At 51.1% G+C, this 16924-nt stretch overlaps 1 protein-coding gene across 7 annotated transcripts in view, besides 1 other annotated feature; it reads right to left on the minus strand.

The window, feature by feature from the left end:
* PRKAG2 (protein kinase AMP-activated non-catalytic subunit gamma 2) overlaps positions 1-16924 on the minus strand; it is a 320989-nt gene that overhangs the window by 263305 nt on the left and 40760 nt on the right. The gene's annotated exons all lie outside the window — the stretch shown is intronic.
* Positions 16058-16258: a silencer, noted in NCBI's record as "peak6848 fragment used in MPRA reporter construct". NCBI's record gives its function as "represses an SCP1 promoter by STARR-seq MPRAs in K562 erythroleukemia cells {active_cell/tissue: K562}" and the evidence as "EXISTENCE:reporter gene assay evidence [ECO:0000049][PMID:32103011]".

Here is a 16924-nt window from a genome sequence, read left to right on the forward strand (position 1 = left end):
CTCCAGTCGCTAGAGACTGCCAATATTTACCAAAGTAACCAGATGTTTGCTGAGTGGCTGTGCTGAGATTAGATTAGCTGAGAATAGTTCGCCCCCCTGCCCCTCCCTGGGTACCTCCATCCAGGTAGAACTAATAGTTCTAAAACTGCAGGATTGCAAAGACATTTGGAGTCATTAAGACCTTGTGTCCTGATTTTAATGGAGTCTAAACAAAAACAAACCAACCCCCGCAAAGGATAACAGTTTCTCTATCTTTCAAGGCCATGTTCTGACCACCTGAAGGTCTTGAGATACTTGGGCTACTGCCTGGAGCCTTACGGGTGAAAACCGGTCCCCTGAGCCTCAAATGTGGGATGGGGCCCCAGAGCCCTCTGTCCAAAGAAGTGCCGTGTGTACTGAGTGTGCATGCAGCTCCTGCGGTGGCTGACTTGTGTTTGGAGCATGTCACCTGCCCAATCAGGGACCCACCTCTACCAAATAAGCCAGCAGGTCTATAAACGCTAAGTCATATGTGATCAATCAGTTTAAGTGACGTGCCCAAGGTCACATGGCTGTGTCCTTAGAGGGCCAAGGCTAAGACCAGGTGTTCCTGATTTTATGCCAGCACCTGATAAGGAAGAGATATGCCTATCCACTGGAAAACCGGCTGAGACTTTGTCCCGTGACCCCACAGTGACTTGTCTAACTCCAGTCTGAACAAGCTCGATGTGTGCAGGGAGCAGAAGTGAGAGGAGGAAGGACTCGCTATTCACGCCGGCAGCTGGAACCTTTTTCTAAAAAATGGTGCATGCCAAAAGGAGCTGATGGGCTTAGCATAAATTCAAGAGGGACAGGCTTAAGCATCTGTCAGAGCTTCACTCCTTCCAAGAACTTCTCTGACCTCGCTCCTACCCCCATCACGATTACTCCTCCACACCCACTGCCGTGGGCTCCTTTGACTTCCGTCATTTTGATGCTTGGGGCCCGGCCCCTGTGGCTTCTGCAGGGCACACTCTACTCGGAACACCGCTCCGTGGCCTGGCCCCTGTGGCTTCTGCAGGGCACACTCTACTCGGAACACCGCTCCGTGGCCTGGCCCCTGTGGCTTCTGCAGGGCACACTCTACTCGGAACACCGCTCCGTGGCCTGGCCCCTGTGGCTTCTGCAGGGCACACTCTACTCGGAACACCGCTCCGTGGCCTGGCCCCTCTGGCTACTGCAGGGCACACTCTACTCTGAACACCGCTCCGTGGTCTCCAACTTCACGTCTCCCACAGGGTCAATGTCCAGTCAAGGCAAGAGCTCCTCAGACCTGATAAGCAGGAGCCACTGTCTGGAGATGAGCGCCACCTTCAACAGAAGGAACTTGGCACTTGGGAAGCCCCATTTTCTTTCCTCTTCCATTTTTTAAACAACAATAAGCCGGGCTTCTCTCCTAACCCTGAGGCCCACCCTGCCCTAGCAGCTCTCAGTGGCCCATCACCACTCCCGCTCTCTCTCTCGGCACCCCGTCTCCCAGTCAATGGATATTCTTAGGACCCCCCCCAGCCAGGTACCTGCCTCATGCTGCATTGCTGGGACCCAAGAAAAGTAGAAGAGAGAGCCTCCAACCCCACGGACCTCAGTCCCGGCCAGAAGGAAAGCTGTGGAGACAGGGAACAAGCAGGCTGAGAGTCCACACAACATCGTGTGTGGCACAGACAGCAGCCACCATCATAGAAGTTTCCAGAAGGAAGGGGCTACTTTGGAAGAAAGTCTTAAAAAATAACTTCATGAAAGGAGTAAGACTGAAGCTAAGATAAGCAAGATCAGGTAAAAATCAGAGGCACTGAAGGGTCCTTGCATTTTGTAAGGCCCCAGAGCATCCTCCTCCTTTGTTCCCTAGACACACTGTCAAGGCTCTGGAAGGCTCTAGAAGGCTGTGGAAGGCTCATGGCAACTCGATCTTTCTTTTAAGCTGGGAACCAGGATTGGGCCCAGGCTTGGCACACACAGAAGGCCAACAGGCTGTAGCACAAGCCTGGCTAGTCTCAGGCAGGTGCTCCGGGGCTGAATGTCTGTGACCTAAAACAGCCTCAATGGCACTGCTGAGCAGAAGGCCCCGGGCTGCCCAGGTGGTAGAAGGCCAAGCTGTCGTTTAGCATGCACAAGGCTCCCCAATTTAATTGAAATCAACATAAACCACACTGCACAAAACCATTTTTTTTCTACAAATTGCCCTCTATAACAATGCCCCTAAGCAAGTCCTCTCTAAGACACATTGGATTCCTCGTCCTGAGCACACCATGAAGGAGAAAAATGCCTCTACTCACCCTTTGAAACGGATGCTCTTTTTCTACAGGTTCAAATTCCAGCTTTGCTTTGCCAGTGCTGGGACGTTGGCTAAGTCATTTAGCCTCTCTATGCCTCAGTTTCCTCATTTGTAAAGTGGAGTTAATAATAATTATGCCCACCCCACAGGGTTACTGTGAGGATTAAATCCGTATGTATGTATGTACATGCACACACATACACACACGCGCACATATGCACATCTGTAGGCTGAGTTTTACGGAGGCGAACAGGGCCTGAGAGCTGCTGGGAGCCAAGGATCTGGGAGGCACCCCAGTGCGTTCCAGTGCCGCGTGACTCAGGTGTCAGAGAAGCCCATTTAAAGACCTCACCCCATGACAACTGCCACTGGGGACAGATACAGAGACTCTGAACCTTAAGGCAAGGTAGGAAATGGCAGAAAGTAAATAATAGAATGTTCCAGAAACAGACACCTGCAGCCTCCTCTGGGTGGGATGATGTTCTGGCCAGGGCTGGGGCCAGAGCACAACTGCCACCGCCCTAGGAGGCCTCGAGCCCAGGAACGAGGTGGGTTCAGGAGGGCAGCAGGCCAGGGTCAAGGGCGGGGGGTGACTTTACTGTCAGCAGGCCAGGGTCAAGGGCGGGGGGTGACTTTACTGTCCCCAAGGCCTCCTTTAATCAACTGACCACGATGTACCCAGCGCTGCCTGGGTGAAGGCGCTGTGGGAGTAAAAAGGAGCAAAAGGCAGATGCGGCCCTGAAGACCCTCTGAGCCAGTCTTGGGACATGTCTCAGAGCACGCGGCGGCCCAGGTCCAGGGGCTCCCTTGGGGCTGGGCTGCACAGCTGAGACTGTGAAAAGCCAAGGGCCAGGAGGCGAGGGGAAGGCTGAGAGGAACGGTGAGCCGGCCCCGCTGCCCAGGCTTGGGCACCTGGGGCAGCTGGCCTGTGAGATGGTGCTGCTTCCAGTGGTGGCAGGTGGACAGCGTCTTCCCAAGCTCTGACAGACACGCTTAGTGCAATGGCCTTGGCTGTGTGGAGCCAGGGTCAGGGGTGCAGACCCATGTGGACGCCACCTGCACCCTGGGTCAGGTGACAGGGACCTGCCTCCACACCTCCACGTCACACTCCCTCCCTCCCCACAAAAGGTTGCCCAATGAATCCACAACACAGAATGTTCAGCCCTGATTCAAAAATGAAACAAACAAGAAAACAACCTCCAGCGACTAATCAGCCTGGGGAAGCTGAGTGGCCGCCAAGCCCGGCTCTATCACTTGAAAATCTAGGGCTCCTAGAATTCCTCCCAGCGACCTGGTTTTCAGACCCCACCCCACCCCACCCCACAGCGGAAAACGCAAGCTCAACTGCAGAACCTGCTCCCTGACCCCTGGCTTGTCACAGCAGCAGGGGCCAGGCCACAGCCGGACTCTGCCAGGCGTGGCCCCTCTCAGCACAGCCGCCTGGGGACACTCTCTATGAAGCTCAGGAAGAACAGGAAAAATGTGTATCCAGTTTTGTTGGCTACAGGGATTTTGTATCAACATTTTTTTTTCCAAAAATTGAATAAACACTAAAACTTAAGCTGAAACTTCTTAAATGTTTTAATGATTTTAAAAGAAATATCTCAGAATGCATTATACTCTGCTGTTATGGGTTAAAGTGCTTGCACCCGCAAAAAAGACATTGGAGTCTTCACTCCCAGAACCTCAGAATGTGACCTTATTTGGAAATAGGGGCTGTTGAATTTGGCCCCATTTGTGAGTGGTCACATGGGCCAGGCACCGTGGTGGGTGCAGACCCCTCTCCTAAGTCAGTCCAGGGACAAGAGAGTAGATCCCAAGGAGATGGAACCTCACTCACCCTCTGCCTAACCAGTCCTGGCCTACTGGGCCATCTGGGGGCCTCATCTCTGATTAAAATGTCAAACTCCACATCAGAGGCTAGGGAGAGACGTGGGAAGAGATGACACCCTCCATCTGTTTCTGGAAACTTCCACAGCCTGATCCTATGATCCTTTACCAGGGCTGGGCCCAGGGATGTGGGGCCCAGAGTCATTCCTGGTGGATGGGGGCTGGAAAGGAGGTAAAGTCCACCCCTGGCTAAATCATTCGTCTACCTGGAGAGAAAATTAGAACCTCTGGGGAGTTTTCAAAAACTAGATCCCAATTAAGAACTACTGAATCAAAATTGCTGGGGCTGAGAACTGGGTGATTGAAATATTCTGCTAAGTAAGAACCACTGATAGCACCCACCCACCTCACTGTAAAGACGGGGAAACAGGCATAGAGAGAAAATGGTGTGTGGGAGGCCCCCAGTTATTCTTGGTATAACTTATGGAGGCAGAACCCAAGGAACCTCTGAGAAGGGAACTGTGAAGTCGGAAATCTGAGCTTTCCCTTTAAGAAGGAATCAGCTTTTGATTTAAAGTAAACTGAGAGGCAATTCCTTGGACTTCAGGGACTCAAGGGCATGCCGTAAATCGCCCTTGGTTCAGAATATTCATAATATTCTATGACTTGGAAAGCTTCTTAGCTGGAAGCTTCGTAATTGGTTCAGGTCAAAGATCCCAGTTCAGCTTGTGTTTTGCTCCCCTCGGCTTTTCCCCACTTCCTGTCATCCTGCCTGGTTCCTGACTTCCACATTCTAAGAAGATACAGAAGTGATTGGATTATGCTGCTTGTGTTAACATCAAGGTTTGTGGAAGGTAGTGCAGATAGTTGCCGGAACTCCTAAGCCGCGGTGAATGGTATCGACTGATACTTTAAATCGTGATGAGATTGTAATGAGATCCTAGTAGCCTCTGTGTGGAGCCCCTCCCTCTAGGAGGGTTATTATCCCCACTACCCCCACCACACTTGGCTGTGTGCCTTGCATTTCCCAGAAGTGATGGGTGCCACTTCCCAGTGGAAGCTTTTGGAGCTGTCTGACACCTCTCTCCTGCTCCTCTCACAGCAAGCACCCAGACAGGAACTGCTCCTTCAGCCTGCGGTTCCCAAAATTAACAGGACACAAAGCAGAGCCCCAGCTGTCGGTGATGCATGTACAGCAGTAGCGAGAAATGCACTTCTGTCCTGGCTTGCTGCTGAGGACGTGGGGCCACTTACTACCCCAGCGGAACTCAGCCGACACTCGTGCGCTTTCTCCTGCCCCCTTCCCTCTCTTTCTTCTGAGTCTATTCCCTAATCCTAAATAAACTCAGTGTAACTTATAGCGCTTAAGAAGGTCATCTAGGCGGGGCACGGTGGCTCATGCCTGCAGCCCTAGCACTTCGGGAGACTGAGGCGGGCGGATCACGAGGTCAGGAGTTCGAGACCAGCCTGGCCAACATGGTGAAACCCCGTCTCTACTAAAAATACAAAAAAATTAGCTGGGTGTGGTGGCAGGCGCGTGTAATCTCAGCTACTCAGGAGGCTGAGGCAGGAGAATGGCTTGAACCCAGGAGGTAGAGGTTGCAGTGAGCTGAGATCGTGCCATTGTACTCCAGCCTGAGTGACAGAGCCAGACTCTGTCTCCAAAAAAAACAGAAGGTCATTTGTTGGCTTCTTTGCCCTGGCATTGCTATTTGAATCAAATTCGAATTAAAGGGCCTTTGAGAATGTAGTCCTAAACCCAAATAGGACACGATTCTTTGTTTTTCTTCATTAAATTCACTTTATATTATTCTCTGATTATGAAGACTTTGAGTATATGATTCGTACCCTCAATGATACCTTAAAATGATGTGAGGATGGGAGTCTTTTTGTATAATAAATGCTCCCAACCCTGACATAGAGCCAGACACCCAACGCATGCTTCCTCTGGCCCAGATTTAACATGCACTGGCCGCTCCCCATGCACCTGGCACCCTAGGTGACAGGGGTACCAGATGAAGCACAAGTCTCCGCCCTCCAGGGAACTCCCAGCACAGTGGGAAGAATACATTTGAAGCCTGTTTTTTCCCCTTTCATGTTAAAACAGAGAACTTCCTGCCCTGTTTGTCTCTGGGACGCTCCTCAGGCCCACATCTCCTTTCACGTCCCATCCCCTGAGCTGGACATTTGTTCAGCAAGTCCTTTCCTGAGCACAAATGCATCGAGCGAAGGGATGCCCAGCATTACAGACACCAGAGCATAAAGCTGTGTGGCTCAGAGCTAGGTCAAGCTTCCCATCCCAGCCTAAGGCTTCTTCACTCCCTTTCCTGGCCCCAATTGCCTCCAAACAAAAATCAGCAAGCAAGCCGCCAGTAGGTCCTTGGCCAGCATCCAGGGTGACCAATTAGTCTCGGTTTACCCAGGACTGTGTGGGTTTAAAACAGGAAGTCCCACATTTGAAGAAGCCCCTCCATCCCAGAGAACTGGAGCAGCTGTCACCCTAACAGGTAGAGTACCTTTTCCCCAGTTGGTATGCAAAGCTGTGCACCCACCACCGCCCTGCCCTAAACACCCCCACCCATCCATTCTCTCTTTCTCCATCTCTCCTGACTTCCAGTTCCACTTTTTTTTTTGTTGTTGTTTTTTTTTGACAGAGTCTTGCTCTGTCGCCTAGGCTGGAGTGCAGTGGCGTGACCTCGGCTCACTGCAACTTCCACCTCCTAGGTTCAAGTGATTCTCCCACCTCAGCCTCCCGAGTAGCTGGGATTACAGGCACCGACCACCACGCCTGGCTAATTTTTTTGTATTTTTAGTAGAGACAGGGTTTCACCTTGTTGGACAGGCTGGTCTCGAACTCCTGATCTTAGGTGATCCACTTGCCTTGGCCTCCCAAAGTGCTGGGATTACAGATGTGAGCCACCGCGCCTGGCTCAGTTCCATTAATTTCACCCATTTCCTCTTTCCATTTCCAGCTCTTCATAAGGAGGAAATTCCCTCTCACCTTCCCTTCCTCTCTCTTTCCTTTATGAGGTGAAAATGTACCCTAATCATTGAAAAAGAAAAGAGCTAGGGATTTGTATGCTATCAAGAAAAAGTAATGACTGTAAGTGAAAATAAATGTTCTAAAGGGACATTAAACAAATACTAGACGTGATACATCCTCAAATACACGGAGCCCTCTTCCAACATTCTCCATTTATTTTTTTCCTTCCACTGATCAAACTTGTTTTTCACAAAATACCACTTTTGAGTTAAATAAAACACCATTGCAATTCCATTTTCTCTCCTGCTTCCTAATTGCTCTATTCACTTGTTTATTCACCCAACAGAATGTGTTTCTGTATTGCACACATACATCACGGCAGAGACTGTGGTCAGGAAAGGCTGTATTGAGAAAAAAAAGGCCACCTTTCTACAAGCCAGTGAAAATCAGGTTTGGAGAAAATTTAACATGGAAGGCTGGAACCAGAGAACACAGCTGTGTAGGATGGAACACTACAGATAAGTCATATATTTGGGTCCAGACTTCCTGCAGACCACTGGCTCTCAACCTTGGATGGACACAGAAATCATCTCTGGAGTTCAAAACAACAACCACAAAAACCCCAATGCCTGGTCTCAGAGTTTCTCATTTAATCCATCTGGGGTCCAGTGGGAACTGGGATTTTTATTTATTTTCATTTATTTATTCATTCATTTATTTTTGAGACAGGGTCTCACTCTGTTGCCTAGGCTGGAGTGCAGTGGCGCAATCTCAGCTCACTGCAACCTCTGCCTCCCAGGTTCAAGTGATTCTCCTACTTCAGCCTCTGGAGTAGCCAGGATTACAGGTGCCTGCCACCACACCCAGCTAATGTTTGTATTTTTAGTAGAGACAGGGTTTCACCATGTTGGCCAGGCTGGTCTCGAACTCCTGACCTCAAGGGATCCGCCCACCTTGGCCTCCCAAAGTGCTGGGATTACAGGTGTGAGCCACTGCACCCAGCCGGAACTGGGGTTTATTAAATGTCCCTCAGGTGATTCTAACATGCAGCCAAAATAGGTAGGTAGACCTAGAGAAAGGAACACAGTGGGTTCCAGGACGCTCATTTTACATAAAGAGAAATATGCTTTTTACCAGGAAAAGGTCCTGGGTAGAGGCACAGCTTTTCCAAACACATATTCCAGTAGGAATTTCTTGAGGTGGCCTTAGGTAAAAAAAAAAAAAAAAAAAAAAAAAAAAACTGCCTTGCTGTAGCCTGTCGTGGTATGACTTCCAATGCCAGAGCCTACGTGCCTCCAAGGGCAGCCCCAGGAGGACCACGTGGCCTCCGTCTTGGTGCTGTTGTTCCTGATATTGTAATAGTGGATGTGGGCGCTTCCCTGGGTTCCAGCTTCGCAGCAGATGCCATGGGCTCCCCATCATGTCGCTTCCTCTCCCTTCCCATCCAGTCCAGAAAAACTCCCAGGGTGATTATTCAGGTCAACATGAGCCTGGGGTGTGATCTCACCTTGGAACAAAGGAGGAATCCCAAGTGGATCCAGGTGCACTGGGCCACCCATTCACCCAGCAAGCACACAGCAAACGCCTGCTACCCAGGGGAGCCCCGACCCCAGGCTGGCCCTGGAATGAGTGCAACTCTTTGTCCAGGGGTCTCCACGCTTTTGTGAGGAAGAGCTACCTCTCCTTCCCACAGAGCCTGGAGATAGGTCCCTGGTCACAGTGGCATTCTGGGGGTTTTCAGAGAGTCCTGTAATGGATATCAAATCCTAGCCCAACAAGGGGTGACGGCAGGACTCTCCCCGGATTCAGGTCTATGTTGTATTCATCTCTGCACAGTTCCTGATAGACAGTGCATGCTCAGTAAATATTTGTTTAAAGAGAGAATGAACAGTTTAATGCATGAAGAAAAAGAATGACCCTAAAAGCCATCTCACAGAGGTGACACTGCTATAAAGGCTAGCAAAGCAAACTTAGGAGAGAAAGGAAGAAATTTTCATAGTCTTAGAAGCCTACAAACTGACCGTGGCTTTGTCTCATCTCTTCTTCCCTCCTTTTAAGGGCCTTTCACTCACCACGATATCAATATAAAACTGCCAATACTTGGGCCTGGCATGGTGGCTCACACCTGTAACTCTCAGCACTTTGGGAGGCCAAAATGGGAGGACTGCTTGAGCTCGGGAGTTTGAGACCAGACTGGACAACACAGCGAGACCCTGTCTTTACAAAAAAAAAAAAAACTTTAAAAGTCAGTGGGGCATGGTGGCTACTGAGGAGGCTGAGGTGGAAGGATCACTTAAGCTCAGGAGTTTGAGGCTGCAGTGAGCTATGATCACACCAATGTACTCCAGCCTGGGCAATAAAGAGAGAACCTGTCTCTAAAAAGCAAAACAGAACAATAAAAAATAACTGCTTATACTTGTGTTTATTTGACGTGTTCTCAATGTGTTAGAAGGCTTCTTAAATGGGATACCGAAAGCATAGGTAACAAAAGAAAAAACAAAAGCAACTGGACCTCATCAAAATGAAAACTTCTGTGCTTCAAAGCACACCATCAAGAAGATGGAAAGACAACCCAAAGAATGAATCATATATCTGATAGGGACTTGTATTCACAATACATAAAGAACTGTTCAACTCAATAGTAAAAAGACAACCCAATTTAAACACAGGAAAAGGATCTGAAAGTCATTTCTCCAAGAAAGATTCACGAATGATCAATAAGTATATGAACATAAGCTCAACATTAGTTATCAGGGAAATGAAAATCAAAACCACAATGAGACACCACTTCACACCCACTGGGACAGCTAGAACATAAGAGAGACAATTACAAGTGTTGACAAGGATACAAAGAAATTGCAATCCTCATATTGCTGGGAATTGCTGGTGGGAATGTAAAACGGTGCTGCCAGTTTGGAAAACTGCCTGGCAGTGCCTCAAAAGTTAAATGTAAAGTCACAATATGACCCAGCAACTCCACTCCTAGGTATATTCTCAAGAGAAATAAAAACGTATTTCCATACAGAAATTTGTACACAAATGTTTGTAGCAGCATTATTGATAATAGCCAAAAGGCGGAAACAACCCAAATTTCCTTTAACTGATGAATGAATAAACAGAACACGGTATATTCATACAATGGAATATTATCCAGCCCATAGAAAGGAAGGACTGATACATGGTACAACATGGATGAAACTTAAAAACATTTCGTTACGTGAAAGAAGTCATAAAAGACCAAATATCATACAATTCCTTCCGGGGACCCTGCAGCGGGGGAGGGCATAAGAGGACGGGGTTGACGGGGGGAAGCCAGGCAGGAGAGTCCTGGAGGGGGACGGTGGCCCCGTGTACAGCCTGCGCAGCTGCCAGAGTTCCTGAGGAGACCGAGGCGCAGACACCCCCCTGAGGCCATCTGACAATGAGCCTGCCTCCATTGGTCATTAGTGATGTCAGCTGGGGAGGGGCCTGGACAGAACCACACTTTCTGCGTTATAGAATCCAAGGTTATTGAGGATTTCATTCTAGATGGAGAAATGGGATGGAATGGCTTCTGTTCCAATGTCGAGGACTGTTCCACCTGGTTTTTTTTTTTTTTTTTTACCATGCTCACGAGGGGACACCTGGGGTCGCTGATAGAAGTTCAGCGGTTTGCCATTCGCCATTCTCAGGCTTGAAACTCTGTGCCTGGCCCAGGCCGAGAGGAACCTATCTGTCCGCAGGCTGACCGGGAGCCACCCTTCCCGCCACCTGCACGGGCCAGAGCCAAGTCCCGCCACCTGCACTGTGCTGTGTGGGCCACGGAAAGGCCAAGTGGCCCAGGGTGCACCTCTTTCCTCTCCAGGGCGCCCTGAGATGCAGGGAGCAGGCAGAGAAGAGAGAGGCCGAGGAGAGAAATAAGCCAAGCCCGGGGTCTGAGCAGGCTGCACCTGGCATCCGTCAGCATCTCACTCTCCTTTGAGGTAACACACGGAGCTGGAAGGACTGGGGGACGGAAACTCTGAGCCCTGAAAGGCCCCTACAGTGTGACCTGAGAAGATCTCTCAGAGAAGCTTCCAGAAATCCATCTGTGCCTCCCCGGCCCTCCCGCGATGGGACTCATGAGGGGCAGCAAAGAGCCCCGGGGGCGGGGGGAAGAGGAACCAGAGCCTGGCCTGAGGCCTCCTGCGGGATGGTGGACAGCTGAGGCTGCTCTGGAAAACTCCCTCTGGCCAAACTTCCCTCTTTTATGCTTCTTAGGATGGGGGCGGGGCGGGGGGGGGTTGTGATGAGAGGGAGGAGCGTGGTCCCTTCTTTCACTATTTATTCTACACATGTTGTGCTCTCTCACCTGGAGTGACTTCGAGTCATCCAATGTCACTAAAAATCCTTTCTTTTAGGTGAAGGAGTTTCCCTCACTTAATTCTCCCAAGAAAGATTCACGAATGACCAATAAGTATATGAAGATAAGCTCAACATTAGTTATCAGGGAAATGAAAATCAAAACCACAATGAGACACCACTTCACACCCACTAGGACAGCTAGAACATAAGAGAGACAATTACAAGTGTTGACAAGGATACAAATAAATTGCAATCCTCATATTGCTGGGAATTGCTGGTGGGAATGTAAAAGGGTGCTGCCAGCTTGGAAAACTGCCTGGCAGTGCCTCAGAAGTTAAATATAAAGTCACAATATGACCCAGCAACTCCACTCCTAGGTATATTCTCAAGAGAAATAAAAACATATTTCCATACAGAAATTTGTACACAAATGTTTATAGCAACATTATTCATAATAGCCAAAAGGTGGAAACAACCCAAATTTCCTTTGATGAATGAGCAAAACATGGTATATTCATACAATGGAATATTATCCAGCCCATAAAAAGGAAGGACTGACGCATGGTACAACATGGACGAACCTTAAAAATATTTCGTTACGTGAAAGAAGTCATAAAAGACTTCTTTTAGGTGAAGGAGTTTCCCTCACTTAATTCTCCCAAGAGGTGGCCCATTAAAGTGGTTTCTGGTCATCACACCTTAGTGAGTTAATGGCTATGGTCAGCGGAGTTCTGGGCCAATCCTTACAGCAGGTTTAGGCAAACACGTGCCCTTGTTTCACTGATGTGGCAGGAAAACGTGTTCTGATATTCATTTGTATGTTCCCCCCCTTGCACGCCCTGCCTCCTCCTCCAAGCTGGTCTCGGGTCCTGGCCTCGCCCCCTGGAGGGAGTTCTGTGTGCCCGACAGGTGCTGTGTCCCAGGCAGGAGCTGTGTCCCGGTCAGGTGCTGTGTCCCTGGCCTGCCTGCACCGAGGCTGGGGCATCCTGGCAGGATCAGAGGCCGCTAGGGAGGTGACAGAGTGGGGAGCAGAGGACACTTCCCCAGAACCGAGACGGGAGAGAGGGGCCAGATCTCAGAGCGGGGTGGCTGCTGCATCCACCAGAACAAACTCACACACTGGGGCCTCCACTCGGCAAAGAATCTCAAACTCAGGCCTGGCTGCTGCACGAAATCTCCAAGATGGAGGAATCTCAGGAGTCTGGACTAGAAGGGTACAGGGGCCACCAGATGCCTGGAACCCAGACTCTTCTGAGGCCTGGGGGAAGGGGAGGAAGGTCCCTCCCAGAATGCTTGAAATTGAATTTCCCCCCAACCCAATAGGGTGGACACTAGTGACTGATTAGAGGGAGGAAGAGGAGGGGAGGAGGGAAGGAGAGGAGGAGGGAAGGAAGGGAGGAGGGAAGGAAGGGAGGAGGGAAGGAAGGGAGGAGGGAGGGAATAAATCTGAGTCTTTGCCCCACAGAGTTTGTGGACACCAGTTCACACCAAGGAGACCTGCTTGTTGGGGGCGAAGCAGAAGCTCCGACTTCTGGGCAGTGTTCACAGTGCCTTCCCAGGCAGCCAGCAGACCCTCCATAGACACCTGCCCACTGTGGGAGGCGTGGGAGGCTGTCAGAGGTTAGGTCCACGAGAAAGGGAGGAGGGTCAGGGCGGCTGAACACCCCCTCAGAGGAAGGAGCCTAGGGGTTCTCCCCCCTTCCCCTGGGGCTGGTCTGCTGGGCACTGAGGCATCTCTGGGGGGGGGGTCCCAGCACAGCCCACCCTGGGTCCCTTCCACAGCGTGAGCCCCCCGTGCCTGCAAAGGAACGCAGGATCCATGTCCACTCCTGAGGGGCCGCTCTCGGGTACTCTCCAGGTGCTACCTGGGACTGAGGCGACAAAAGCTCAGAGCCCACCTCTGAGGCCCATCCTCAGACCTTCCCTCCCTCTTCTCTAGGTAATAAATGGGCAGCCTCCCAGAGACCCCTATCCCAGGCGAGCAGTTAGGACGGTGGCCATTTCCAGGGAGGCCCCGTGCCCTGACCCCACGTTGCAGGACCCGCTCCGGACTAGCCTGGTGTTCCTCCCAGGACACCCACACTGTCCCCTGAAAAGTGGGGGACATCTTGGAGGAGGTGGGCAGATCAGGTGTCTGAGGTTGCTGGCACTCACTCGTTTATGGTGCACCAGCCCTGGAAGATTCAGGAACAGAAAGACAGACAGCGTCCATCACGAAGCTGGCTTTCCAGTGGAGAGGCGCATGTCAAAATAAAAAGCTAATTTCATTCCGGTAAGAACTGTAAGAGAATCAGGTGTGATCAGTGCAACAGAGAGCGCGTGAGTCTTTTGATTAGATGGTCACGGAAGGCCTCGTGGAGATCTGTGGGGTGGACCTGAGAAAGGGAACTGACCATTGGAAGCTGGGACAGAGCACCCCGGGCAGGAGGGTAGCCAGTGCAAAGGCCCTGAGGCAGGGCTCGGGAGTGTGCAGCGGGAAGGGTTCTCATCCCTGCTCATCCCTGAGCAGGACAGGGTGTGACGAATGATGTTCAAAGGCTGTTCCAGCTGCTGAGCGGAGGAGGCCCTGGAAAGGAGAGGGTGGAAGCGGCAGGGAGGGCCCTGGGGAAGTCTGCAGGGATGGTGCGGGTGAGAGACAGCCCTGTGGGTGCCGCCCTCACCTGCGCTCTGCTATAGAGAGGAGAGCCAGAGCGGGGCGGCAGGAGTGTCTGTCTCGGCTCTTAAGCCGATGGACGCTCCAGAAACCCATCTGGTCCCCAGCCCCAGCACCAGCCAAGATCCTTCTAACTCCAGCGGGCTTTTCAGTTGTTCCAGGGGTGGGGGATAGTTTGGAGAAATAACACTTCCCCTGTGATTAACACATTCAGAAAGGGGCAAAGGGGAGGTTGGCACGAGGCAAGCCCAGAATCCAACTGGCATAAAAAATAAGTCCTTAATGAGGAAAGGTTCACAGCCTCCCCGCTGTGCCTCCCCCAGATGGCGGGAGGGGGTGTGTTCTGTGGGGTGCCCAGTGCACTGGCACACAAGCACACTGCCCCCGCTGGGAGCCTGAGGCCACAGCCAGCATTTCCACCTCACCGTCCATCTCTCCTTCCTCTAGGAGAAGGCCCGGCCCATGGCGGGGGCCAGGCAGGGATAACAGAATAGTGAATCTACTTAAAAAGTTACCTTTGCTAAATACTCACCTTACTGCCAGTTTCTGGAGGAAAAAAAAAATAGAAAATGGCAGCAGGTGGATCATTCCCCGACAGCAGTTAAATGCACCTTGGAAAGAACAAGGTTTCTGCCCAGCAGCCCCCAACAGGGCTGACCCTGAAAACTTAAGGACAAATTCAAACAAGGTGTCAACTCAAGTCACAGAATTTGGTGATCATGATTTGTCTTAAACTGACTCCCACTTCTAAGGGAATGAGAAAGTACACCCAAGATGACCTGAGCCACAATTTTTGGTAAATTAAGTCCTGTAACCAGGTACAGGTGATTCCCGTTACTCAAGGTGGTTTTGCTCCACAAAGTCGCCAGGCACACTGAGTTAGCAAATGCTGAGCCATTGTTTTCAGGGGAGGTGCAGGGTTAGCTTCCTGGGAGCCTCTGGCCACGTTTTTGTCAACCAATCAGTACATCACGTTGTTTGATGTGGGTTTCTGTTTAAATAAAGGCACGGGTGTCCCTGTTTGCACCGCACAGCGCACCCTCAGGTGAGAGTCTTCCGGGCTGAACATCCCATCTCCACATAGTGGGAGGAGGAACACCCAGCACTACCCCTACTTGCTGGAATGTGGACCATCTGGGGTCGGAAGGGACCCTGGAAAGCATCTGATGAGGTGCAGAGAGGTTTAAGCCCCCACCCCAGGAACGGAGTGGAGGGAGTGTGGAGGGCTACGGCGCAGTGCCGCCCCTCCCCATCGCTGTGGGTGAGTCTCCTGGGGGGCTTTGAACAACAGAAACGCACCATCTCCCAGTTCCGGAGCCCGGAAGTCCGAGATCAAGGTGTCGGCAGGGCTGGGTCTCTCTGAGGCTGAGAGGGAGAATCTGTCCAGGCCTTTCTGCCAGCTACGGGTGGCTGCCGGCCATCTTTGGGGTTTCCTGGCTTGTAGAAGCATCACCTTGATCTCCACCTTCATCCTCACCAGAGGTCTCTCCGGGCATATCTGTGTCCAGAATCCCCCTCATACGCAGATGCCAGCCATGTGGAAAAGGGCCAGCCTGCTCCAATGTGGCCTCATCAAAACTCATCACATCGGAAACGACCCTGTTTCCAAAAGAGGTCACATTCACAGGTACAGAGGGTTAGGATTTGGACACATCTTTTAGGAGACACACAATTCAACTCATAACAGGGTGCCCTTAGAAAGGTTTTATGTTCATTTGTTTTTAGGGTCAGGGTCTTGCTGTTTTCCAGGCTGGAGTGCCATGACACACACGATCTTGGCTCACTGCAGCCTTGACCTCCTGGGCTCAAGTGATCCTCCAGGTAATATTTTTATTTTTTATTATTTTTATTATTTTTAATTTTTTGTAGAGACGGGTCTCCCTATGTTGCCCAGGCTGGTCTCGAACTCCTTGGCTCAAGTGATCCTCCCACCTCGGCCCCACAAAGTGCTGGGATTACAGGCATTAACCACCACACTCGACACCCTTAGAAAGTTTTCAGAAATTGCTCTTGTCTGCCTGCTTACCCTTCCGAGGCATCTAACAGCATCCTCCCTGGCCTAAGCCTGGGAGCCTTCCTAAAGGCGTAAGCTCGCCTTTAGGAACCACTCTCGTTGTGGTTTTAAATTGTCATCACTTGCCAGATAAGGAGAGGTTGCTGTATGGACAGACACACAAGGAGACTGACCCAGGTCCTGTTGCAGGACAGTCACCCAGCATCCTGGCCCCACCCTGGGCTTCCATTGGTCTGGATCGGACATCCCGGGGGCTCTCGTGGGCAGCCTGGTGATGCCAGGAGGAAGGGCCCACTGTGATGGCAGATTGCTGGCTGCTCACCGTGATGAAAGTGCATCTGTCCCACAAAGGGCAGCCTTTCCGTATTCAAGAGTGGGGTGCAGCTCAGGGAGGCATCGGAGATGGGGACTGTGACGAGGCCAATCCACGGGCATTGATTGCTCCATGGACCAGCGTGTCTGAGCTCCCTGTGAATGTATCTAATTTGTGGGACTTGCAGGACCCAGGACCCAGTGCACATCCTGAGTCTAACTCACCCCGACATTTTTTGGTTTTAAACCAGTGAGATGTGATTACAATGAATATTCATGACCGCTTCCCATATCCTGAGTTTTGTCTTCGGCCGTGTCTTTGGAGCATTCCTTCCCCTATAGCATGATTTCTCTTTTATGTTTTGTCTGTCATCTCTTCCCCAGGAGACTGAGAGACTCGGGGGAGCAGGGGCTGCGTCAGGACCCCCTTTCTGCCACCCCCAGCACCAGCCCGAGACAGACTGTGGTCTGACTGCAGGCTGACACACCTGGGTCCACAGGCTGGATTCTCAAGAGGGG

The sequence above is a fragment of the Homo sapiens genome, chromosome 7, assembly GCF_000001405.40.
Source record: "Homo sapiens chromosome 7, GRCh38.p14 Primary Assembly".
Taxonomy (NCBI): Eukaryota; Metazoa; Chordata; class Mammalia; order Primates; family Hominidae; genus Homo; species Homo sapiens.